The sequence below is a fragment of the Homo sapiens genome, chromosome 1, assembly GCF_000001405.40.
Source record: "Homo sapiens chromosome 1, GRCh38.p14 Primary Assembly".
Taxonomy (NCBI): Eukaryota; Metazoa; Chordata; class Mammalia; order Primates; family Hominidae; genus Homo; species Homo sapiens.
This window is the reverse complement of record NC_000001.11, coordinates 55,960,716-55,986,894: the sequence shown is the minus strand read 5'-3', so window position 1 is coordinate 55,986,894 and position 26,179 is coordinate 55,960,716. Positions and strand designations below refer to the sequence as shown.

At 37.3% G+C, this 26,179-nt stretch overlaps 1 long non-coding RNA gene across 3 annotated transcripts in view; it reads right to left on the bottom strand.

Annotated features, from left to right (window-relative positions):
• Window positions 1-25,826, bottom strand: part of LOC105378737 (uncharacterized) — a 98,091-nt gene extending 72,265 nt beyond the window's left edge. Inside the window, exons 1-3 of one of the 3 annotated variants that reach the window (XR_001738068.2) lie at window positions 25,637-25,826; window positions 24,906-25,012; window positions 11,430-11,567 (exon numbers count right to left, since the gene is read on the bottom strand). This is a non-coding gene — a long non-coding RNA (uncharacterized LOC105378737). Of the gene's footprint in view, window positions 1-11,429; window positions 11,568-15,749; window positions 16,001-24,905; window positions 25,013-25,636 lie in introns of those variants that run through there. The other 2 variants (XR_007067030.1, XR_007067029.1) reach the window with 2 other exon arrangements.
• Window positions 25,827-26,179: the final 353 nt, after the last annotated feature.

The window sequence follows — 26,179 nt, the reverse complement described above, 5'->3', positions numbered from 1 at the left end:
ACCTATCCTCTGCCTCTTTTGTTTGTTTGTTTTCCCACAGCAAGTTTACTGTCTGACATATTTAATTATTTATTTATTTGTTTACTTGATTTATTTTTATTGTCTATTTTCCTCCTCCAGCTAGAGTGTAGACTCTACAAAAAGTATTCTTTGTTCATTCCTATATCTCAAAAACCTAAAATAGTATCTGGTATATAGTAGGCCCTCAATGAATACTTGTTGCATAAATGAAAAGGAAAAAAGAAAATATCTTAGGGTCCTTCCAGTAAAATGTTAGAATTTTTTTGTCCCATTGTGGTAAAGTTTGGAAGATTAGATTAAGTAAAGTTTAAGAAGCACATTTATGAAGTAAGTAAAGAAAGGATATTGTGTTTTTTTAAACAAAATTTTTTCATCCCTATCTAACGGACCTCAAATGTGGAACAGGTATTTGATTCAAATAATGTGAAGGAAAAACTATGAGAGCAGTGACTTTAGTTAAGGTTTAATGAGCTTCAAAGATCACTCCATGAATTCAGAGGACAAAGGGTCAAAGAAGATATTACAAGATTTCTTTCAGAAGAAACTAATTGATCTTTTCAAGACTTCCCCAACAGACAAAGAAAAGCCATTATGAGCAAGATAGATATACAGAGCAGCCTTTCCACTAATCCCTTTAGATTTTCCAAGAAAAAAAAAAGTTCTTCATGGCCAAATCATGTTGGGAAACCTTGTGTATTTCACAATTCATTATACTATGATAAAGGATTTGAAATGTACTGCAAGAATTTATTTTTGTTTAGCTTAGTGTTTTATTTGACCTCAGAAGCCTTTTTATTTTTTTACATATTGTACAAATACACCCCTTTTGCTTGTGAAATTTTTCTTAAAACCCTCTTTTCGGCTGGGTGCCGTGGCTCATGCCACGTGTAATGCCACTTTGGCTCATGCCAAAGTGTAATCCCAGCACTTTGGGAGGCTGACCGGGTGGATCACCTGAGGTCAGGAGTTCGGGACCAGCCTGGCCAACATAGAGAAACCCTGTCTCTACTGCAAATACAAAAATTAGCTGGGTGTGGTGGCATGCACCTGTAATCCCAGCTACTCGGGAGGCTGAGGCAGGAGGATTGCTTGAACCCGGGAGGCAGAGGTTGCAGTGAGCCAAGATCATGCTACTGCACTCCAGCATGGGCAACATAGCGAGACTCCATCTCAAATAAATAAATAAATAACCCTCTTTTCGTCCCTTCTACCCACATATGGCCTAAATCCCCCTAAATTAATCTTAACTCCAGAGCTAATCTATTGATGACTTCTGGAGAAATAATATATCTGGAGAAGGTTAAATCCAAGGATGTCAAAATCTAATAATTATTTATTAAGAAACTGCTTTAAATGAGGGCCCAGTAGTAAGCTCATATAACTTTCTATGTAATATTAGGATGAAATACAGATAGAAATGCCATATTACCTGGAAGAGGATGGTGAGGATTATTAAGACATACCATTAAGATAAACTCAGTTTAAAGATATACTAGGATCCTAACCACATGGGATTAGTAAAGAGAGAAATGAAGAGATAGAAGGAGAGAGAGAAAAGAAGATATAGAATCCCTTCTATATAGCTATAGAATGGATTGAATGAATTTTGGAAAACTGATTTGGCTCTAAGGTTTATCTTTTAGAAAGTGGTCAGTAATTCCATATTCAACATTTAGAGAAGTATGAGTGCATGATTAATCCCGACAGGTATCAACAACCCTCGGACTTTCATCAAAAAGGATAAAAATGGTATTTATTTATTCAGCAAATATTTACCAGTGTGCAGTAGGCACTTGCTAGGGATATAGAAAACAATAATATAGCCTTTATTCTGAAGACCACAGTCTAGTAGGGAGGAAACACTTGACAATCAACTTAATACTCCTACTCCTTCATGGTAAATTATACTTTTTCATTTGAGCAATTTCTCAGGAATCCATGTGGGATTTCAGGAAGTAGGTGCTACTAAAAGTCAGAAGGAACTTGACCATGAATCCATTCCTTCACATCAGGACCCCGACTTCTGGAATTTGAGGAAGGAATCTTTTTTAGGGAGTATTACCAATGGAGCTTCAGCAACCAGGTAGGCACTGTGGTGGGCATCACAAATATAATATCATATTTAATGCTCACAACAATCTTTTGAGCTACATATTTTGAAGATGGGGAAATCATAGTTCAAGACGGGAAGTAATTTTTCCAATGTTCTACCATGTGTAAATTCCAGAGTCTGACATCTTTATTGAGTTTGGTCTTCATGATCTGTCATGATAAACTATCCCAATATCAGTAAGTCAGAAAGTTCCTCAGGTATAAAGTAAGATTGAGACATTTATGCAATCAGGGTAGCACAGATTTTTACAGTTATGTTGGTTTATGTGGAAATGTAAGGTGCTTAAATAGATGCTAGCATATTAGAACCTGTGGAAAATTGGAACCTAAATTAGAGGTGAAAGGTAGATATAGGAAAAGATATAGAAGACTAAGGTCAGCCAAGGTGTAAGTCATAAGAGAAATAAAAGAAAATTAATGTGTTTTTCCCCTAGGTACATAGTGAGTATCTTGAATATGTGATGCTAAATCTCAGTAACATCATAATAAAATATGTAGCACAGCCAGCCAGAAATTATATTAAGACAGCATATTAAAAAGGATCCAATAGTTCAATATCTAGAATATAGCCTCTGTGTACCAAATCTTATTTAACTAATACCTCTTAATTGGCATTTAAGTTGTTTCCTATTGAATTTTTTAACTTGAGACTTAATAAACATATTGAAAGTATTTCTTAAAAATAACTGAACAAATTTGAATGAAACCTTTAAAAACATACTATCAATTAAATCTAAATGTATCTCTTTAACTCATTTTCTCCAGATTAGTCTCTTTTCAATGAAATTCCAAATCAATTTCTGGTCTTTCCTTAAGCTTAGTTGATAGTAATCAACCAGTATGACTAAAAGAATACATAGTCCTTGTTCTGGTCCAGTACAAATCCTTTTTTTTTTAAATAAGATTCTAGTTTTTGTTACCCTTGTCCTCTTGTATATCCCATAAGGTCTTGTTGGTCTTCAGTTTATTATGGAATAATTCTATTCATATTTATGTCTATCTATCTATCTATCTATCTATCTATCTATCTATCTATCTATCATCTATCTATCTATCCATACATACATACATATGACAGTTCGTACTTCCTATATCAGCACTTGATTGACTGTAAGGATAGTCTTTTCTTCTTCCTCTTCCTCTTCCTCCTCCTCCTTCTCTTCTCCTCTCCTCCCCTCCCCTCCCCCCTACTCCCCTCCCCTCCCCTCCCCCTTACTCCCCTCCCCTCTGCTCTTCTCCCCTCCCCTCTACTCTCCTCCCCTCTCCTCCTCTTTCTTCCCCTTCCCCTGCCCCTTCCCCTTCCCCTTCGCCTTGTCCTTCTCCTTCTTCTTCTCCACTTTTTGACAAAATCTGGCTCCATCCCACAGGCTACAATGCAATGGCATGATCTCAGCTGCAACCTCTGTCTCCTGGGTTCAAGTGATTCTCACGCCTCAGCCTCCTGAGTAGCTGGAACTGCAGGTGTGTGCCATCACACTTAGCTAATTTTTGTATATTTTGTAGAGATGGGGTTTCACCATATTGCCCAGGCTTGTCTTGAACTTGTGAGCTCAAGCAATCTGCCTTCCTTGGCCTCTCAAACTGCTGCAATTACATACATAAGCTACCATGCCCAGCCAAGCATAGTCTTTAATTATACTTCAACATGCTTTGCAAAATGCTCGCTGCATGATTTACATATCAATGCCAGCAATTCATTTTTTGTCTGTCTTTCTGAATGTATATCCGTCTGACTTACTCTTCCTTCCTGCCACTGAGCTCCTTGCTGTTAAAGATACTGGTTTTGCAGAAAGGTAAGAAAATGAAAACCCATTTTCCATTGGGTCATCATGATTTTTCTCATGTATCACTTTTAATTATCCCCTGGTACCAAGGTTACTTTTGAAGCATTTTGTACTATTTTCCTATGGGATGCAGTAGGGAAACAGTATACAAATAGGCACATTAAGCCTCTTTCCCCAACTTGTTATACGCCCAGGATGGGTATTTCATAAACTTATGTGGGGATTTCCTTTCCCTGGACTAGAATGATATGTGGATGACTTGAAGGCTGAAAAGTTGGTGTCCATTTTAAACTTTTATGAATATCTATTTATTTTAGTTTAGTTTTTGAGATGGAGTTTCACTCTTGTTGCCCAGGCTGGAGTGCAATGGCATGATCTCGGCTCACTGCAACCTCCATCTCTTGGGTTCAAGCGATTATCCTGTCTCAGCCTCCCAAGTAGCTGGGATTACAGGCGTGGACCACCATGCCCAGCTAATTTTGTATTTTTAGTAGAGATGGGGTTTCTCCATGTTGGTCAGGCTGGTCTCGAACTCCTGACCTCAGGTGATCTGCCCACCTCAGTCTCCCAAATTGCTGAGATTTAAGGTGTGAGCCACCGCAACTGGCCCATGAATATCTATTTTAAGAACATCTCTTTAAAGCTGCAAGGGAGACGGATGGGGAAAAGGATCGCCGCTATTCATTCATATAACTCCTTTAGCAAAACAATAGCCCTTAGCAAAACATTATCCTTAGAAGGAAGTTTAGTTATCATGTTTTGTTACTCAGCAATGACCCAAGTGATTTATCAAAGTACTCTGTTCAGGTTCATGCAGTACTTACTTTGAGATAAACTCTCATAGATAATGTTTTCTCGATCTCCTTTTTTATTGATGTTTCAGTGTTCCTTACAGACTGATGGTCCATGTAACAGTCTGGCTTGCTCCTTCACCTGGTCTGCCCATACCAATGATCACATCTATAGGACTTGCACCTTACTAAACAGTGAGGAAGTCAATGTTATGGACTAAGGACACAGTGTTTCTCTTGGCTCTGTACTAGAGCTAAGGATGAAAAGAGATATATTAGAGATAGAATGTATTATTTGTTACCCTATTTAAATATTGGCTTTAACAATGAGGTAATAATATTATTAGTTAGTGATTCAAAAATGCTGTTCTGTCTCCCTTGCAAAAATATAAGTGTGATAAACTTGGAGAAATAATCAGGTATTAACTATATTTCTCTTTCACTTAAAATTTAGATCATTGCTTCCTACATTGTTTTCCAGTTCCAAATACATTAGTAGATAGTGGCAATTATCATGGAATGAGAGGGGATCCATGCTAGTCCTTGAAAGTGTAAACTCTGGTTTAAACACCCCTCTAAGTTGCAACATAAATAGCTATGAACTGGGGTAAGAAGGTAATTTGAGTAAAAAGCTGTTCCTCCTTATGTGCAAACCGCCATTTAAATGGTCAAAGGAATTTAAAATGGGTAAAAAAAAAAAAGCATAAAAGCCAAAATAAAGGAAGATACCATTCATATTTTAGATACCTCAAGGAATTTCTAGAGTTGGATTAAAAGAAGGCATGGCTCAAATCCATCCTTCCTGATAAAGAAAGATGCCCTGCATTATAGCAGTGAGTAAAAGAGATTCTGGCAAAATCCCACTAGCAGCCCTAACAGACAAGCACTAAAGGTGAGAAGAGACATATTAGAGATAGAATGTGTCATTCGTTATCTCTTTTCAAGCTATGAATCTACAGCAGGGATCAGCAAACTTTTTCTGTAAAGGGCCAGATAGTAAATACTTTGGGCTTTGCTGACCCATGCTGTCTCTGTTGCAACAATTCATCTCTGCCATTTTAGCATAAAAGCAGCCTTAGATGATACATAAAAGAATGAGCATGGCTGTGTTGCAATGTAACTTTGTTTATGGACACTGAGATTTGAATTTCATATAATTTTTATGTGTCATAAAATGTTATTCTTCCTTTGATTTTTTTCCAGCCATTTAAAATATTTTCTTAGCTTGCAGGCCATACAAAAATAGGTGGCAGGCAAGATTTGGCCTACCTGTTGTAGTTTGCCAATCCCCAACCTACAGCATTAGAAAGAAGCTTCGTTTAGTGGCCCCAAGGCATATGGAATATCTCAGGAAGCACTGTAAAAGGCGTGGCACATAGCAGCACCAAGAATAAGACCAGTGACAGTTACATGGTTTGCCTGGCATGGAAACATAGTCAAATGCAAAGCTGGGAAAAGATAATCTATTGCACAATAACCTCAGCAAACATACACACACATTTCACAAATTATTTCTGATAAACAATCTACGCAGGAAAGAGAAAGGCAAGATAAATATACAAACAGACGGAACAAATGCACATGCTACCTATTAAAAAAGAAATACACATATAAGAAAAATTTCAGCTTCATTAGAAATAAAAGGAGAGTACATTGAAACAGGCTGATGCCATTTTTTACTTATCAAATTGATACAAATTAAATAGAACATTATTATCTAGAAAGACTCCTAGGGACACGGTCACTCTCATATCACTGGTTGTAGTCCATAGTGTCATACCATTCAACAAGCTATTCTATTGAGAGCAATTTATCCCATTGAAATGAACAGTGATATAACACAGATTCAAGTGTAAGAATATGCATTATTGCAGTGCTACTACTTATGAAAAAATAGTTGAATCAATTAAATGTTTAATAGTACAGAATTGGTTAAGTATGGTCTATCCTATATGATAGAATGTTATCTGGCCAATAAAATCATTTACAGTTTTTATTTAACATGAGAAACTGTTTATGATTTATTCTAGGTGAAACAAGCAGGTCATAAACAATATATACAGTATGATCCCAGGCATTTAAAAATGTTGTGGTGTGTGGGTATGTAGTATGTGGTATGTAGTAAGTGAGTGCATATGTTTATAAAACAATGAACAAAGATTGGGTGGATATACACGAATAAGTTAATAGTAGTGTTCTCTGTGTGTGAGACCATCTTAGAGAGAGATCCCTATAAAGATTATTGTTTTGCATTTTATGAAATAGAATCAAATGGTATGTATTCTTTTGACTTGCTTTTTTGTGTTTTCAAGGTTAATCAATGTTGATGCATTTATTTTTATTGTTATATGGCATTCCATTGTACAACTATACCACACACACTATTATGAATAGCACTCCTGTGAACAATATTGTATTAATACATGTCTCCTAATGTACATGTGCAAGACTTTGTCTAAGGAATATTCCTTTGGAGTAAAATTGATAAGTTGAAAGGAATAACTACATTTAATTTTATTAGGTTATGCCAAAATGTCTGCCAGATTTTATACTCCCACTGGCAGTATAATGTTTGTTCTTCCAGTTCGGAAAAATGCTTAGCCATTATATAATTTAATATTTCTTGTTTCTTTTTTCTTACTATTGTTTGTCTGAAACTCTTATTCATTGGTTAGACCTTCACATTATATCCTTTATGTATCTTAATCTTTTATATGTTTCATTTTTTGTTTTTTTGTTCTGTTTTGTTTTGTTGTTGTTATTTTTGTTTTTTGTTCCTCTGGGTCACATTTTGGGTAATACTTTTGGCTCTCTCTTCTCTACTGGTTTTCTCCTCTGTTGCATATAATCTGATTTTTAACCATTTGTTGAAGGTTTAGTATTACTAATTACATTTTCCATTTCTCTAAGTTATTTTTTGGTAATTCTCTAAATATGTTTAATCATTCCTCACATCCCAAGTTTCTTATACTTTGCTCAAGTTTAAGCCTTTTTTAATTCTTTGAAAAGTAATAAGGCATTATTATTTTATGCAAATATTGGATACTTTTAATATATAAAGTCTTTGTAGCTCTGATGCTTCTATTCGTTTTGTATGCTGACTTTTGTTCTTTGCATTTTATTTCTTTTTTATTTTGTAATCTTTCACTTTGAGCATATTTTCCTGGAACTTTACCTGTGGGAGTACTTAGTGGTATGAATTGAGTTTTCTGAGAGGGTTTACATTTGATTCTGCTAATTGTTTTAGTTCACTGCAACTCACGACCACTTTAAACTAAATTATCTTTATTATGTGTTTTGTACTACAAAGTAGCAAAAACTGGGGCTGAAAAATCCATGTGAGGATTGATTTATATAAATATTTTCTGGAAAGAGTTTTTTTCTTTTGGTTTATGAATCAAGTCAACAAAGGAAGTCTCCTTCCCCTTCTCTACTAGGAAATTTATTTATCCTTCCACTGAGGGTGTAATTCTTTGAGGATATAGTTTAAGTTGTGGACCTCCTGTTAAACTTTTAAATTTGCCTACAGTATGTATTAGTTTGCTTAGGCTGCCATAACACAATCCCGTGGACTGGGTGGCTTGAACAACAGAAATTTACTTTCTCACACTATTGGAGGCTGAAGTCTGAAATCAGGGTGCCAGCATGGTCAGTTTCTGGTGAGGACCTTCTTCCTGGCTTGTAGTTGGCTGTCTTCTTGGTATACCCTCACATGACATGAGGAGAGAGAGGAGAAAAAAGAGAGAAGGCAGAGAGAGAAAGAAGAGAGAGAGAGAGAGAGAGAGAGGAGAGAGAGATTGAGATCTTTCTCATAAAGGCTCCAATCCTATTGGATTAGAGATCAATTCTTATGACATCATTTAACCTTAATTACCTCCTAAAGGTTCGGTCTCCAAATACAGTCACATTAAGGTTAGAGCTTCAACATATGAATTTGGGGTGACACAATTCACTCCCCAGCACACCCTAAGCTTCAATCTCCTGATTCCTATGCATTGCACAACTATAAAATGGAAACTTAAAGTTACCAAGATGTCACAGAAGCCTTTTATTCATGATGATAGCTGCATCCAGTGCAAATTATGTCCCACAGTTTTTGCTCTCCTTCATGTTTGGCCTCTTCAAATTTCTTACTTTTTTGGCAGTTCAAATATCTATTTATAGAGCCTGATTTTTGGTGGAATTTTCTATCACATCATTTATTTTATGTATTTTTTTCTGCAATTTTTGGAGATGTTGACCACAGATAATGTCCTTGCCTGATTAACTTCAATATCTAAATTTTGTCTGATTGTCTTTTTTCTCTTTCTTGGGTTTAAAAAAATTGATACATAATATTTTACATATTTGTGAGGTACATGTGATATTTTGTTACATGCCTAGAATATGTAATGAACAAATCAGGGTATTTAGGATATTCATCAAATTGAATATTTATTATTACTATGTGTTGGGAACATTTCAAGTCCTCTTTCTCTGTTGCTTTGAAATATATGATACATTATTGCTAACTATAGTCACTCTGCTACAGAACATTACAATTTGTTCTTTTTATTTAACTGTATGCTTGTACCCATTAACCAACTTCTTTATATGCCTACTCCCACCCACACACCCTTCCCAGCCTCTGATATCTGTCATTCCACTCCCTACCTCTGTGAGATAAATGTTTTTAGCCTCCCACATATGAGTGAGAAATTTGTCCTTCTGTTCCTGGATTATTTCATTTAACATAATGACCTCCAGCTCCATCTATTTCTTAGTTTTCAGTTATACAAACCTATTTAACAACATGTCTAGTAAGTTTTTACTGAATGCTAGACATTATGTATAACAAACTATAGATATAAAAACTGTCCACAATTTTTATCCCACAAGCCCTCATTTCTTCAGTGGTTTTCTAATGACTTTTTAAGAGATAAATTTTGCATTTATTGAATTTTTTTTCTTGTTCTTAAAGTATTTGTCTGCTATAAGTAATTCAATTTTACACAGATGTAGAAGTATCAATAATGCATTTAAAATATACTGATTAATATCTAATTCACCATTGTGAGTTATTTTATCTGAAGGGTTATTCTAGATAACCAGACTAACATACTGCCAGAAGTCAATTTATAAACATTTTTCTGAAGAGAGTATTTTTGTGGCTTGTGATATTTTCTGGAGGAATAGAGACTGGCAGTAAAAAGACTCAACTAGATGAAAATAAAGGATCAATAGGCTGATCTGCCATACTCTCAAATTTTTATTCTCAAAATTTACTCTCAAATTTTTAATATGGGCATATTTTATAAGAGCATATAAAATAGGCATAAAGAAGGTGCACAAACATAAATATACACTCAATTAATTATCATGAACTAAGCATATCCATGTTGATACAACCTTGATCAAGAAATGCAACAGTACCTCTACCCAAAAAGCCCTTTCATGCCCTCTCCAATGGCTACTGTTCCTCTTTTCTGAAGGTAACCACTCTGCTGGTATCTTATACCATTATTGCACAAAATAGTCCAATATATGAATAAATCACAACTTATTGATCCATTTTGATGTTTATGAGCACATGATTATTTGTGGGGCAATTATGAATAATGTTTCTGTAAACATTCTAATACATATTTTTTGATATACTTCTGAATTTCAGATTTGTATGTGCTTAGGAATGGAATCATTTGGTCATGTGTTTATGTTCAAGTTGAATAGGTAATGTTAAGTTTTTAAATAGTTTGATTTATAGGACCACAGGCAGTATATGACTGTTTCAGTTACTTTACAACTTCACAAATGTTACTTGGCAACATTTGATATTATCACTCTTTTTAATTTTAGTCATACTAATAGGTGTGTGATGGAATCTCACTGAGGTACAAATTAGTATTTCCTGATTTCTTTTCATATGCTTACATTTTAATTATTTTAATAAAAAGACTATTTCTACTCTCTAAAATATTTATTATTGATATCTGTGGAAATTTCCAAAAATGTGTTTGATGTCTATTGGTGAAATTAAAAAATTTTTAATGTATGTGATGTTTGTCTTAATTTTCTTTTTGTATTCATTTCTAATATAACTGCATTATAATTAGAAAACATTGTAGGTGGTACAAATGTTTGTTATTTATTGATATTTATTATGAAATGGTTTATGGCTTTTGGTTGCTGTATTTCCTAGATGCTTCTTGTGGACAGAAAATAAATTTTTTAAATTGTTGGATCCACTGTATATAAAATCAGCTTGTTAATTTTGTTCACATCTTCTCTATCCTTCTTAATTTTTGTTAGTTTGATCTATCAAATACTGATAGTGTGTTATAATCTCTCACTAAGTTGGTAAATTTGTGACTTTTATCTACAATTATCAATGGTTATTATCAGAATGGTGAGAATATGAGTGACAAGTGTTTCTAACTGGATTGTTTTTGTGCTTCTTGTGCTTTAGGTGTGAGCACATGTGCATTTTCAGACGCCAGGGTGGACTGAGTAGACTCCTGCTCTGCTATGGAGTACTGCAAGTAAGGGAGGGCGTAGGCCTCTTTGGGGAGGTTTCCTGGACAGAGGAAGCACCATGGATGGAAACTACTTCTGGAATGGTAACCCAACAATAGCTCCTGCGTATTCCTAGTTTTCAATGTGAATGGTGCCTCCTTCTGCCAACCACACAGAGCAATACTGCCAGCCCAAACGCACATTCCCAATTCCTGTGTACTACCTGCACGTGTAGTCCTGGCTGGGTGTGGTCCAGCTTTCCTCTTTTCTGCCTCAGCACAGAAAGCTGAAAGAGACAGCTTGAAGGTCAGTACAGGACCAGAATCCAGAGGGTCCAGATGATCTATTCCAACATGTAGAACTGAAGCTGTGGAAAACAGGAGTGTGAAGCCAAATTCCAGGCAGATACCACTGCAATGAATGTTGCAATGAATTATTCACTTATTCTTTTAACAAATATTTCTTGAATTCTTTCCTTTGGCAAGACACCAGGGGAGGATGTGATGCCCCAAGATAATTTAAACAATTCCCTGAGTGCTGAATTCCAAGCCTCAATAAATTGTTCACACAGACAAATAGCAGCAGGGCTTTCTCTGATGAATAAAAACAGAGTAATGTCTTTGTTTTTTAAAAAAAGAAAGAAAGAAAAAACACCTAAATTATATCCGGCTTTTCTGATGTAGCCTCAAGATTACATGGCAAACAATTATTTAACAGAATGAGAGAACTCCAATGGTCTCATCCACCCTGTATGGGCTGATTTTAGAAGACAATAAACAGTGACAATTGTAAAACTTAATGGAATGGAATGGAATGAATGAGATGCCAAGAAACATTCTCAGTCTTCATTTATTGCTCTTGCAACAGCCTTTGAGTTAGGGCCATGTTCATTTGTACCAGATATGATGGCTGTTGACAAACTTTAACAGGAGTTTCTTATTTCTGCTTGAGTGGTTTGTCTACAACTCATCTCCCTACTTCTACTCTGACTCCATCCTCTGGATTTTTCTCAAAACATGGTTCTGGTCACATCACCATTTAGTCCAACTCATCAACAGATGATCATTGTCTATAGCATACAACTTCTTAATCATTATTTCTGCCCACCCTTATCTCACAGTTCACCCTGTTACTTGTCCTGTAGCCTGAGAGCACATGTAACATACAAGATACCGTCTTTCTTCACTACCTTGTCCACATACGCTCCCATTTCTCATTCATTGCTATAACCTCTATGGAATGTCCTATTATCCATCTCTTTATTTCAGATCCCTAAGTAATCAACAGGCCTGTGATGAAGTTTGAACCCAGTTCAAATCGACAGATATTTAAGGAGTGCCCAGGCTTGTATCAAAGAGTATGATGGGCTCTGGGGATGTAAAGATGAAGGAATGAGATAGGTCCTTCTCAAGAGAAGCATACAGTCTAGATGGAGAGACATGCACAGAACATATCCAGGTGGCAGAGAAGTGCCATCCTGACCCTATAGCACAGAGTGATGCGATGGCAGGTGCTTCAGAAGCTCAGGAAGAGTGCACCTTGCTCAGCCTGGCTGAAGGTGTTGCTAGAAGGAAGTATCAGGGCTTGGTGTCAGATTAGGAGTTATCCATGGTACGGAAAGTAGAGAGGGATGTTGTCATGGGCAAGAGGAACATGAACAAAGATTGGAACTTTCTATGACATCTCTTCAACCCCCTTTTATTTCAGAACTGAATTATTTCACCTCAGATGTAATGTTTCATTACATTTTTTGTTGTTGCTTTTACACTGTTACAATACTAACCATAATCAGCCTTATATTTTGGTTCCTTGATTACAGTTATTATTTATTGGGTACCTGGTAATTTCCAGGCCCTGTGCTAAGCCTTACTAAAAGTTGCCTCATTTAATCCTCCCCACAACCTTAAGAGGCAGGCCGTATTGTCATGCTCATTATGTGGATGAGGAAACTGCAGCTCAGGGAAGTAAACTACACAAGGTTGTACAGCTATTTTACTGTGCACAACCATAAGTTAGAGCACTTGATAAATGGTCTCTATGGTTCTGCAGACAGAGATTCTGATCTAGTAAGTTTCAACTGGGACTTGTATGTGTGTTTTATCAAATCACTAAGGTGGTCGAGAGCCATATTTAAAAGATTAGCACTGTTCAGAAGGAAGAGACCTAAGACTTATACCCAGACCTGTCAGCTTCCAGAACCTGTTTCTAGACTTGCCTGCTCTTGGAGAAAGGGAACATGTTACTCACTGTTGTATCTTACAGAGTCACTGACAATGCAGCCTTGCATGTTATAAATGTTAAAAAAAATTTTGACTCATTGCTGGGATTAAAGTAGTGATTCTCAGCTTTTTGAAAGAAGACAACTTTATCTCTCAGTAATGAAATAATTTTGCTTTTATTTCTAATTGATATTTACCTTAATGACAAAGTTAAAAGTTTTTATGATCCTGAGTTTTCTCCAAATTGGATCTTACAAAATTACCATTCCCTTTTATGCTGTCAATAACTTGACACGTATTTCCAGTGCATTAGTCCTACTGAACTAGTGATTTTCCTAAAACATAAATCTGGCCACGTCACTCCACTACTTAAACCTTTTCTATAACATCTCATCACGAAAAGATAATAGCCACCATGTTTAGCCTGAGGTCAAATATTATCTGAAATCTCACCCCATATCCCTCTCCAGCCTTTTTCTCACTATTCCCACCTTTGCGCAATGTGTACTAGAACTCAAAAATATATGTAGTTTCTCAAATTTGTGAAACTGTCTCCTGCCTCTTTGTCTACTCTTTCTTTGACTGGCATGCCCTTCTCTGATTTAATCAACTGACAAATGCCCATTCCTCCTTTAAGACATAATTCAAGTATCTCTTTCTCTGTGCCTAATTCATTGATTCTTTTAAGCAAAAATGATTGTTCTTTCTTTGTTCCATATGTCCCTTATAGCACATTTTGTTTATAAGCCTGTAGTCTCCATTAAAGTAGTAACTCTTTGAGAGAATTCTGCCTTTTCTCCACATCATCACTGTCTAATATAATGCTTGGCACAAAAGGTTGAGTTGCTTTCTGTTGAGTAGATTAATAGATGAGTGAAGAAATGAGTCAAGGAATGAAAGAATGTGTGAATGAATCAAGGTATCTGTCTTTACTTCCCATCTCACATTGAATCCATCAGGAAATTTATTAGCTCTACCTTCAAAAGATTTACAGAACATGATTATTTTTCACCATCTCCACTGCCACCATCCTAGTCCAAGCCACCCTAACCCCCAGCCAAGATTTCTCTAGTAGCTTCCTAATTGTTCTCTGTGCGTTGATCCTTGATCACCTCTAAAGTCTATCTACTCCCAGCATGGAAGCTAGATTTATCCTTTAAAAGTAGAAATCAGATTAAAACTCAGCTTTGGTTTTTGTTTCATGCAGGACAAAAGCTCAAGTCCTTCCAATGGCTTACAGGCTTTATATAACTACAACCTCCCCTTTCAGGCTCCTGCTCTGTCCCACTTGCTTTCTTCTTTTTTTTTTTTTTTTTTTTTGTTTTTGTTTTTTGAGACGGAGTCTCACTCTGTCGCCCAGCCTGGAGTGCAGTGATGCGATCTCGGCTCACTGCAAGCTCCGCCTCCCGGGTTCACACCATTCTCCTGCCTCAGCCTCCCGAGTAGCTGGGACTACAGGTGCCCGCCACCACGCCTGGCTAATTTTTTTTGTATTTTTAGTAGAGACAGGGTTTCACCATGTTAGCCAGGATGATCTTGATCTCCTGACCTCGTGATCCGCCCGCCTCGGCCTCCCAAAGTGCTGGGATTACCGCTTGCTTTCCAATCCCATTTCTTACCACTCTTCCTACCACTTTCTACCACTCTTGCTCACTCTACTCCACCACACTGGTCTCCCTGCTGTGCCCCATCTAGCAGGCATGTTTCCATCCATCGTAAGGCCTTTGCATGAGCCGTTACTGCTGCCCCAAATGCTCTTTGTTCATTGTCAGAATGGCCCACTCCCCTACCTCCTTCAAGTCTGTGCTCAGATTGTACCTTCTTGACTACTCTTATTAATGTATTCTAATTATCTGGGTAATGACTGCAACATAGTAGACACTCAGTAAATATAATATATTTTGAATGAATAAATGAATGCATGACTACTCTCGAATGTAAGCTTCTTAAATGCCCTTGTAAGAATTTTTTTTTTTTTTCGAGATGGAGTTTCTCTCCTGTTGCCCAGGCTGGAGTGCAATGGCGCAATCTCGGCTCACTGCAACCTCTGCCTCCTGGGTTCAAGCGATTCTTCTGCCTCAGCCTCCTGAGTAGCTGGGATTACAGGTATACGCCACCACGCCTGCCTAAATTTTTTTGTATTTTTAGTAGAGATGGGGTTTCTCCATGTTGGTCAGGCTGGTCTTGAACTTCTGAGCTCAGGTGATCCGCCTGCCTCGGCCTCCCAAATGCCCTTGTAAGATTTTTATCATTGCATTCCCCATCCCAAATATAGTACCTGCCGCTTAGTAGGTATTCCATAAATGCTTGTTGAGTAAATGAATGCACATAAATTGGATTTCAATGGATCACATTTGAGGGGAAAAAAAGAAAGCATGCCAGTTAATAATCAGTGTAGTTTATTTAAAATCTCTTGATGTTTATTTTAACAAAAGCCTTCTTGGAATTCTAACACTGAAATAGGATGTCATTGAGGCCTTTGTGGTTTTAGTAGCTGTGACCTTTACCATCATTCTCAGGATGGGAGGAGGAGTGTGCATGCAGGCCTTAATTAATCCAACCCTGGGGCTGAAGTGATGTGCTGACCAGGAAAAAAAAAAAAAAAAAAAAAAGGAATGTCAGGAAAACTCACAGACCAGCTTCCCCAAAATAACCTTGCAATTGTTCCTAAGTATACCAGAAACTCTAATTTAGACAGAGTTTGGGCTCCTCTCAATTGACTCAGCATGCTTTTAGCTACATCAATTGCTTAGCAAATCTGAAAGTTTCCCATGAGAACCTTCCATTAAGTTTTTATTCTGCCAAGCTACAGAAAAGGAAAGGCCTGTGTTTTGCAAACACAGAAAACAGCTTTAACTATATTCCATTTTTGCAGGCTCCTGGGTAAATTTTTAAATCAAGCACTACTTTATGTGATCTGATTTTTGATCAAAATATAATGTCTAACAGGTGGGCTATTTTGGACTCAGTCTCTGCCAGGTGGTGTGAAATAATGAAAAATGATCATGGTGCCTTTATATAAATGGTCACAGGTCATCCTGCTTGACCTGTGGTTCAGACCAGCCTTCATGGAAACCCATGTCCAAACTACACCCACTGCTATAATTGAAGGTGGGTGTTTTCAGAATTGCTTGGCTCAACAAACTTGCTGCTCTTAAATTATTTTGAATTGTGGCTTGATTGACAAGCTTCATAGAACAGAAATTTAATAGCTGAGTAAATAGCTCTACCAGGTTCATGCATGAACCCTTAAGCTTGGCGATTATTTTAAAGCACCGGTAGACACATAATCATGAGCATTCTTGTACAAGACATAATAACTGTAGCCCTGGAAAGTATGATTTAAAAAGATTCATCTTTAGATTCATACTGCAGAGTAGTTTCTAGCACAAGTCCATTACTTGTAAAGATTTAGAAATAAATTTAAAAACTATGATTTTTTTTAGAATTAGTAAAGAAAAAATATCACTTTTTAAAATATAAGTGATTACTTTTTAATATAATATAACAATAATAAGATACTTTTTTCTTACTTTGGCTTTGCAGGAAATTCAGAGACATCCTTAATTGTGGTAATTATCTATTAGCTTAAGTGGTTAATATATTTGTTTTCCCTTTTCCTTTATGTCTTCTGAAACTCTATTTCTGTATTAATACCTTACTATATTTTCCAGAATCATATGGTCTTTTAGTTTCAAGGTAGTTTTGGAAATAAGTTTGGTATAAATATGATAATAAAAACTAATAGATTGGGTGTACTCCACTTCTTCAGTTTAATTTCCTACTAGAAACAATATGGCAAAATCCTTGCCTTCAGAACTAAAAATATATTTTATGCATGTGTTTCATATGACAGATGATTGAAAAGAAAATAGTTCTTTTCTTTCTCTAGAAGCATTTATTCCATACCTATTTTCTACATGCAAGACACTGGGCTTAATGATGGGTTAAGAAATAACAAAGGCAAGTCTAGATTGGGAGACAGACACTCACATTAGCAGCTACTAAACAATGTGATGATTCCATTTATATGAAATGTCCAGAGTCAGAGAATCTGAAGAAACAGAAGACAGAATAGTGGTTGCCAGGGGCTGACAGTAGTGGGGAATAAGGAGTGACTGCTTAATGGGTATGAGTTTTCCTTTTGGGGTGATGAAAATTTTCTGGAACTAGATAGTGGTGACAGTTGTATAATATTGTAAATGTGCTAAATGTCACTAGTGGTACATTTTATCATTTTATATTATGTGTCTTTTCTACAATAAAATTTTTAAAAATTAAAACAATAAGCAAACAAGACTCTGATGTAGTGAGGACAACTAATTTATTTTGATACATCATGGCCTTCACCATGATTTTGAGGAATAAATGAACCCCAGCATTGTGTAGTGGCTCTTCTCTGTAGGTCAGAAATTACACCGGGAACCACTATCATCACATTGAGATTTCTAAATACGACAAGAATAAGGAGTGTCCAGGCTGGTAAGTGCCAGTGGAAGTTACTTATTCATTCATTCAACAAATATTTACTGAGTGTTACTATGTGTTAGTCGCTGTATTAGGTGCTGGGGACAAATGCTTAGCAACACGAGGCATGCGTGCTCTCTCAAAGACCACTGTCTGGTAAAGTTGACCACACATAAATGCTGTGAAGAAAGGAAATGCATAGCCAAGAAGTTTGGCCTAATCGAAGGTTTTGGACAAGGGTCAGGGAAAATTATCCAGAGGAAGAAACCACTGACCTGAGTTTTGGAGGGTGGCTAGAAACTAGAAGGAAACGGGCTGTGGGAGGGGAAGCACATTGAGCTTGCCAGGAAGGAAGAATCGTGTGTGTAAAGAAGAAACAATAAAAAAGGAGGGGAAAATGGGTATCACAAGGCTTGAGGAGAAGGCAAGGAACAACCTATATGGGCCACTTGAAGGACTGCAAGGCCCTGGAGCAGAGCTGGTGGGGTGATGTGGCGAGACCATGAGCGACATGGTAGACCTTTCAGATTACCATCATGGGCAAGACACGGATCAGGGAGGAAACAGTGCATAAGAGGAAAGTGTGATTGACATTAAGGAGGCTATTGATACATAACTTGATGACAGATTGTATCTAGGGTTGTAGAGGAAAAGGGGAAGAGAGAGATAAAAAGTGCTCCAGAAGCACGTTTTGGAGATAAAAGGAAGTGTTCCAGAAGCAAGCACTTTAACAGGGGAGGTGGGTCATACTGACTGACTCAATCAGGAAATATTAACACAGACTTTTTGTCAGTGACTCTCACATAAGAGTTGCTCCTGTGCTTTTTGGAGATGTAATTGGTAATGAGTAGCAGGTCTACATGGCAATGACAGCTATATATTTTGTAACTCATTAAAATATATATTAACTGTCCAGGAAAGGGTACATAGTTCAGTTATCCTTAGCCAATACATTACGTTCTTTTTAAGTTATAGGAGTGAAATGATAAGAGGGCAAAGAAAGCTACCAGTTATTGGCTGGGCACAGTGGCTCACACCTGTAATCCCAGCACTTTGGGAGGCCAAGGCTGGTGGATCACAAGGTCAGGAGATCGAGACCACCCTGGTTAACATGGTGAAACCCCGTCTCTACTAAAAATACAAAAATTAGCTGGATGTGGTGGTGGGCACCTGTAGTCCCAGCTACTCGGTAGGCTGAGGCAAGAGAATTGCTTGAACCCGGGAGGCGGAGGTTGCAGTGATCCAAGATGGCAGCACTGCACTCCAGCCTGGTGATAGAGCAAGACTCCATCTCAAAAAAAAAAAAAAAAAAAAAAAAGAAAGCTACCAGTTATTGAGTATCTATCTACACCATATCTGGTACTATGCTAGATAATTATTATATTACTTTATTTTTTATGATCCTATGTAATACACCTTTCCCTCTATTCTAAAGAAGAGGAAACTAAGGCTCAAAGTAAATTAGTACATTATTTACAAATCATCAGGTAATAAGTAAGAAGAAGTGCAGTTTAAAATTAGGTCCCTGGTCACCTTCCAAGATTTATACTCATTCAAATATGATATTTTTCAATTACACTCATTTGTGTTATCACTTTCATGATTTCTACTACACAGATGTGTAACACTCCTATCAGTATTTTCTTAATATTATTCTTTAAATTTGTTTATCTTATTTTTTACTCACATTAAGTATACTTTATAAGGATGTTTTATATCAACCTTATGAGTAGAAATCTGTACCCACAAAGGCAACCAACCATAAAAGGAAAAATGTAACCATAAAAATTATAATTAAACCAAGCAACATCACTAAATTCTAGCTACACATTGTTGTTTTCTGCTGAGGATTTCAGTTTGATGCCTGTTCTTTATCTGTTCAAAAGAGGGGTTAGGAAATGCCAGGGAAGTATTCAAGAATAGTACCATACTGAGGGATAATTCCTGGTAGTTATTCTACTGAACAGAAAAGAAAATAATTTTCTCATAGTCCATTTCATTGTTGTTTACTGCTGTGAACCACCTTAAACCATTTTTCATGCTACTGACATCAAATGCTCCATAGCTGTGGAGCCACTGAACTATATCATGCTGCTTCTATAGTTGAGATACCTACACTTTGGAATTTCACTAGATTTGGATCCAACCAACTTTCGTACTCAAGATTGTGATATCCAGAAAATACGGAGCAGTTAAAATTGTCTCTTTTAAAGGAACTATTCTGAATACGATCGAATATAATCCCTCATGCTTTAGGTAGGTCACTGGCTGTGCCGACATGGAGGAGAAAGTGGGAAGCAACTGAAATCTTGTTTCTTGGGCATTTTGTGAAATTTACCTGAAGAAGGAATATTTTCAAAGCTGATTTTTAAAATCAAGCTTTTACCATTTGAGAGTCCACCACATAATCCATACCTGAAATTATAAAAAGCAGAGAGACCTTGGAATAATTATGGTCCTGAGTTCACCAAGAGAAGTCCATAAAGACAGGTCAAGACGACAAGCAGAGGCATCAGGCCAGATTGAAAAGGGGAAGAAACAAAACCTACGGAATTTGGCTTTCAATGAAAAGAGAAGGGAAAGCAGCAAGTGCATTTTTGAGGAAAGAACAGATGGAAGGAAAGTTAAGCAAAGTTAAAAAACATCTTTGTGGTTTGTACCACAAAAACCAGCAGAGCTGTGGTTTCTCTGGAGCTAGAGATCTGAAAGGTAAGGAAAATAGGGATCGCATTACACTGTCCTCAAGGGTTTAATGTGCAAGGCAATGATTCTAAGGACGGTCTGACTAATTCCCTTTCTGTCTCAGAGATGAGCAAGGAGACAGAGAGGTATCTAAACCTGTAACGGCATATATTAACCCAGTCTGAATGATTTACTGTTACCATATTTGGGCTGACTTTGAGTGCAGGAGAGGGGAAAAAATGAAGAAAAACAAGCTGACCCATAAAAAGAAATCGTAGAACTTCATGTCCCAACAAGTGGGTAAAACTGTTAACATTGTTTTTTATGGCCTAATAAATGTCTTTCATAAAAATTGCTGAAAACATACCCCCTAGATCTCTTTATTAGATTTAAAAAGAGATTATTGATCAGAAGGAAGAATTGTTCAAAAAGAGGGTTAGAAAAAAACCAGGTCTTAGGTTAAGTTAAAATATTGACGGTCTTTTTAAAACTCCATAATTCAAGTATTTTCATACATGTGATGGAAATGAGTCTAGAGAACTTAGATAACTTGTCTGAAGAAACAAAGCTAAAAGATGGTAAATTCAGGATTTAAACCCTGCTTGAATCTAAAACTTTAGATCTTTCAGCAAAATCCCCAAGCCTTATCTAACTACTTATATGGGACTGTGTATCCGATCAATGGAAATGGTCCACATAGTACCAATATTACATCTGAAATTTTATGGATTCACAAAACAAGTGTGTGAAGAAGACATGATGGTTATTTTGACCCCCATTTTTAAGACATGGCAAAATGCTATGAGCAACGACATAATGGTCATATCTCCTCTATAGATGACAAAACTGAGGCCCAGGTGATAATGTATCTTATCCCAGATGATATAGCTAGTAAGTGGTAGTTCTGGTCATTGACTCCAAATCTCATGTTATATCCTCCAATCACAATAATTTTTGATAACGTAAGGCCTTATTTTCAAATATGTTTCACTGGTGCTCATCTGAAATACTGGGACAATCAACATTTCACCATTTCCATAGCCACTCTAATTCAATCCACCATGATCTCTTTCCTGAACTGCTGTGATAGCCCCTTCACTGGTCTCCTTCCAGTCATTCCGCCAGTTTTGCACTCTATTCCATTCTCTAGACTGTAGCAAGAGTGATCTTTTAAAAATTTTAATCAGATATTGTCACTTCTCTGCTTAAAACTCTACAACTCTTTTCCATGAGTGTTAAGGAAATAACTTATTTTCAATTCCCTATGATATCCTGCATGCCTGCCTCTCCAGTCTCTGCTTGTCTAGCTTTCCCATGTTCTCATTGGGTTCTAGCACTTTGGTCATCCGGAAGCTCCTTCACCATGCCAAACTCTTCAGCACCTTAAGTCTTCCTATTTGCTGGACCATCTCTCCAGGTAAGACTTCAACTCTTTTTTCCTATGGCTTCCCTGAGTGCTCAGGGATAGTCCTCTCTCAAATTAAATTTCATTGATTTAAATTTAAATCAGTCTGTAGCCATAGCCCCCAAACCATAGAAATTATCTTAAAGAACATTATTCTTTTTTTTAAACCTATCACTTCCCTGAGAATATAGACATATATTTCTTTAAATTTTGACTAAATTGTAATCTTCATGCAGGTCAAAGATCACGCACAATGCATTAACATTAAACACATGTAAATGGAATCAGGAACTCATCTGAACTCGTTCACTCATCTGTATGATGGAAACAACCATACTTACCCCACAAGACTTTGAGAATTAGCTGAGTTAATGCACATGATGGCTCTAGATACCTAGAAGTCACTGTCTAGATGTAAGTTATTCTAATGAGTCAAGTAGAAACAGTGTCTCACACCTTTGGAAATAAATGATTATGGTTCGATTAAGTAGATCTCTATGATGTTGTTTCAAGGTGAGAAATAAGATTAAGGAATAGAAGTTCTAAGAAAGTAGTCTTATCACTACAAACAAAGAACTATTAAAGTGTTACGTACAGTCCAAAAATAGAATATACTGACTGTGGAGTGGTAAGTTCTCTAACACTAGAGGATGTTGCTTGTGCATTTGACAAAGACTTGACTAGATAGCTCTTACGCCTCTTGCAAACTCAGGCATTCTCTAATTTTAGAAAGTAAAAATAAGAAAAACACTCACAAGTTTGGACATGTAACTCAAAAGGGAAAAGTTTCATACACACCTACCTGAGGTTTGCTATATAGGATGACAGTGAGGGGAAAATTCTGTTTTAACATTTTCCAAGATAAATCTGCGACATTGTTTTCAGTTAGCAGGTCTTCAAAACATTAACTCTAAGGTAAAAGCATGAAGATAACCATATTTTTTGCTTACAAAGATAAGGAGTAAAAGGTCTCTAACTCTTAGATTAGGAGGCCTATGGCTAGGGAAACTTGTTCAAGTAAAGTTCCATCCTACCCATATAATTGTTTCCATGGAGGATATATAAAAGCACACGTGCACACAAAAGCCAGCTTTCCAAAAGTGCACTAGAATAAAACTTAAGTAAGAAAGACAAAGAAAAACAGAAAATAATTTCAGCTTTCCAGAAGGCCATGCAAACACAGAAAAGAAAGCAAGAGCTGAAGAACAAAGCAATGCATAGATCCCTACCTCATGTCTGGGAAATCAGATCTCAGCCCCTATGTTGCCGTGCACTGGTATGATTCAGTCCCTTCAGAGGTGTGCCACAGGGATTTGTTACTGATGTTTAAATACAAATGAGTGTGCATATTTTTTAAAGTAATGTTACTAGAAGAGAAATCACTAATCTTCCACCTTAGTGTGTTAGTTAAGTATTAGGAATTTAGATCCTCATCGAACCTGCCTTCCAGTGCCATCCAAGACTCAGAGTTGACCCCAAAAGTAAAGCTTCTGCCAGATGTTTGTAAGAGTAAGAAGGGGTCATTAAAGGATAGGCAACTGTGGCAGTATCCCATTTCTAATGGACCTACTGATCATATTCTGATAGTAGTGTTGGCATGCGGTGGGTTTTGTCGCTGCTGTTGGCAACCGGTGTCTATCCTCTCCTGCTTCATGGCACAGGACTCTGAGTTTCCTTTAGAGAACCACCCCTCCCACATTTCCATCCATGGGAGCTGAGCCCACCCTAAGCTTCAGCTCCTGGCTTACATTGATCTGCAAAGTCTAACCCTGAGGCCATGATAATTGATTCAGGGAAGGGTGTGAGACTAAACTCTGACCATGAAAATGATAGAAATGAGGATGATCCTGGGCAAGAAGCTTCCTTGGTGTCCTGTGAGAGACCATAAGAGTCTCTGTTCTTCACGCCAAAGGGACTGAGAAGCACGTAGCCCCTTGAGCTGCTGACAGTCTTTTTATGAATACAAGTACTACTGTTTCCAGATGACATTAACACAGTGGAAAGCAGACGTAGAAAGAACAATGCCTACCCCAACCACACACACAAAGAGATGCCAAAGTCCTAATCCTTGTGAATGTTACCTTATATGGCAAAAGGGACGGTGAAGATATGATTAAGTCAAGGATCTTGAGATGGATAGATCATCTTGGTTTATTGGAATAAGCTCAGTGTAATTTCAAGAGTTTTTATAAAAAAGAGAGGAAAGAATATCAAGGAGAGAAAAGGGGAAGTGGCAAAGGCAGCAGAGAGAAAGAGAAATTGGAAGGTGCTGTGCTGCTCACTTTGAAGATGGCAGCCTCTAAAACCTAGAAAAGGCAGGAAGCAGTGTCCTCTCTAGAGCTCCAGAAGGAGCACAGCTCTGCCCAGACATTGACTTCGGGATTTTGATTTCTAGAACTGTAAGATAACACATTTCTGTTGTTTTAAGCCACTAAGTTTATGGTCATTTGTTATAGTAGTGACGGGAAATTAATACAGCAGAAGAGAAAGATGGATAGAGACAGGCTTACTGGTTGTTTGGTGGTATTGTTGAAGCACTATATCAAACTCTGGTGAAGTCCCTTGTACTTTTTGAGGTTTGGGTTATAAAAACTGACTTCATTGTTTAAGATTACTGGATTTAGGTTTTTTTAAATTACCTGGACCAAATTACCCTAACTGATAGCAGCACTGAGTAAATATAGAAGAACCAACACTACTCTGCTTAGCAAGGTTCAGTGCTACCCTTTATTGTAGAGGATAGCAGTGTAGATTTTGTTGCAACTAGGAAAGTATTTCTCTTCTTTAATACAGATTTTGGCTGTTGTGTTTCTGAGCATCAGTGCATTCATTTGAAGGTGTAAGTGTTTGTATTTTACTCAGGATTTTCACTTGTATTGGGGAATGGTTGGTGAGATATGTGTGGAGACGGAGCTTGGAGATCAATACTAACCTCACACTTAGAGGGTCAAATCCCAGCCACCACTGTCTTGGCAAAGCCTTCCATGTTGAATAACTTGGTAATTGTATTGCTGAAGGATTACTGTGTCCAGAAATAACCTGTGGAAACAGATGTCAACACTGATTAAATGTTTGAGGCCACAATGTTTCCGTGAAGAATAAGGATTCACATTGTAGGACAATCTATAAAAGGGAGGTCATCAGGGGAAGGAGTGGAGACTTGCGGATGGCAGGATTAAGCAAGAAATTGGGTGCGTCTGATAGAGACACTCCTGTGAAAGGGTTTAATTGTAATCTTGTCTTGGATTATAATGGACCATTATATAAAGCATTTTTTGAAATCATAATTAATTTGGTTATATTCAACCTCCAGTAAGGCCTTTTGGGATGGTATGGTGGAGAAGAGAAGTAATAGGCTACACAAAAAAGAGTGTCTTGTCCACCCTCAGCCACTGCTACCTAGAAAGATGGAACAGCACCCTGTCAAGGGGGAGTATAGACCAGGAGTTTCGGGGTAGCCAACTTCCACAGGAGCAGTGGCTGGCAGTGGTGGGGAGCAGTGAGGGACACCTCTGAGCAGCAAACTGTGGAGTGCACCTGAGGCAAATCACTGTTTTTAAGGTTTTCTGAAGAAGGTGATCCTTGAACAGGGAGACAGGTGGGAGGCTTTCATTAAATAAAATGTGTCATGGTTATCCCTATACAAATACCTCTCTCACTTACCCTACAGAATGCCTTCTTGAGCAGGAGGAAAAGAGATGTCATTACTTCTCCAGAATATGAGGTGGGAGGATGGGAAACTGGGCATAACCCACACATAATATTATCTGCCTGGCTCCACAGCACAGGGGAGAATGTCAGACTGTGAGCTCCAGCCTCTATGCCTGTCTCAGCAGAAAAAACAAAGCCTGAAAACAAACGGACGAGGGCTAGTCATGCTGTGATAGAAACAATATGAGCTTTTGACTCAGAGGGACCTGGGTCTCATTTTTGGCCTTAAAAATATACTAATTCTCATATTTGAACAAGGTACCAAAACACTCACAGCCTCAGTTTTGTCTTCTATAAAACGAGACACACTGCTGTCAGGAATTGAGAATCATCAATAAAGAATGAAAGTATTTAACAAGTGCTTAATAACTAGTATCTATTATTATTTGTATTTTTATCTAATGTTTCTAGCATAATTCCTGGAATGGAATAAGTTCTTAATAAGTAGTAACAGCAAACATGTCTATAACACTTAACTATGTTTTGGGCACTGCT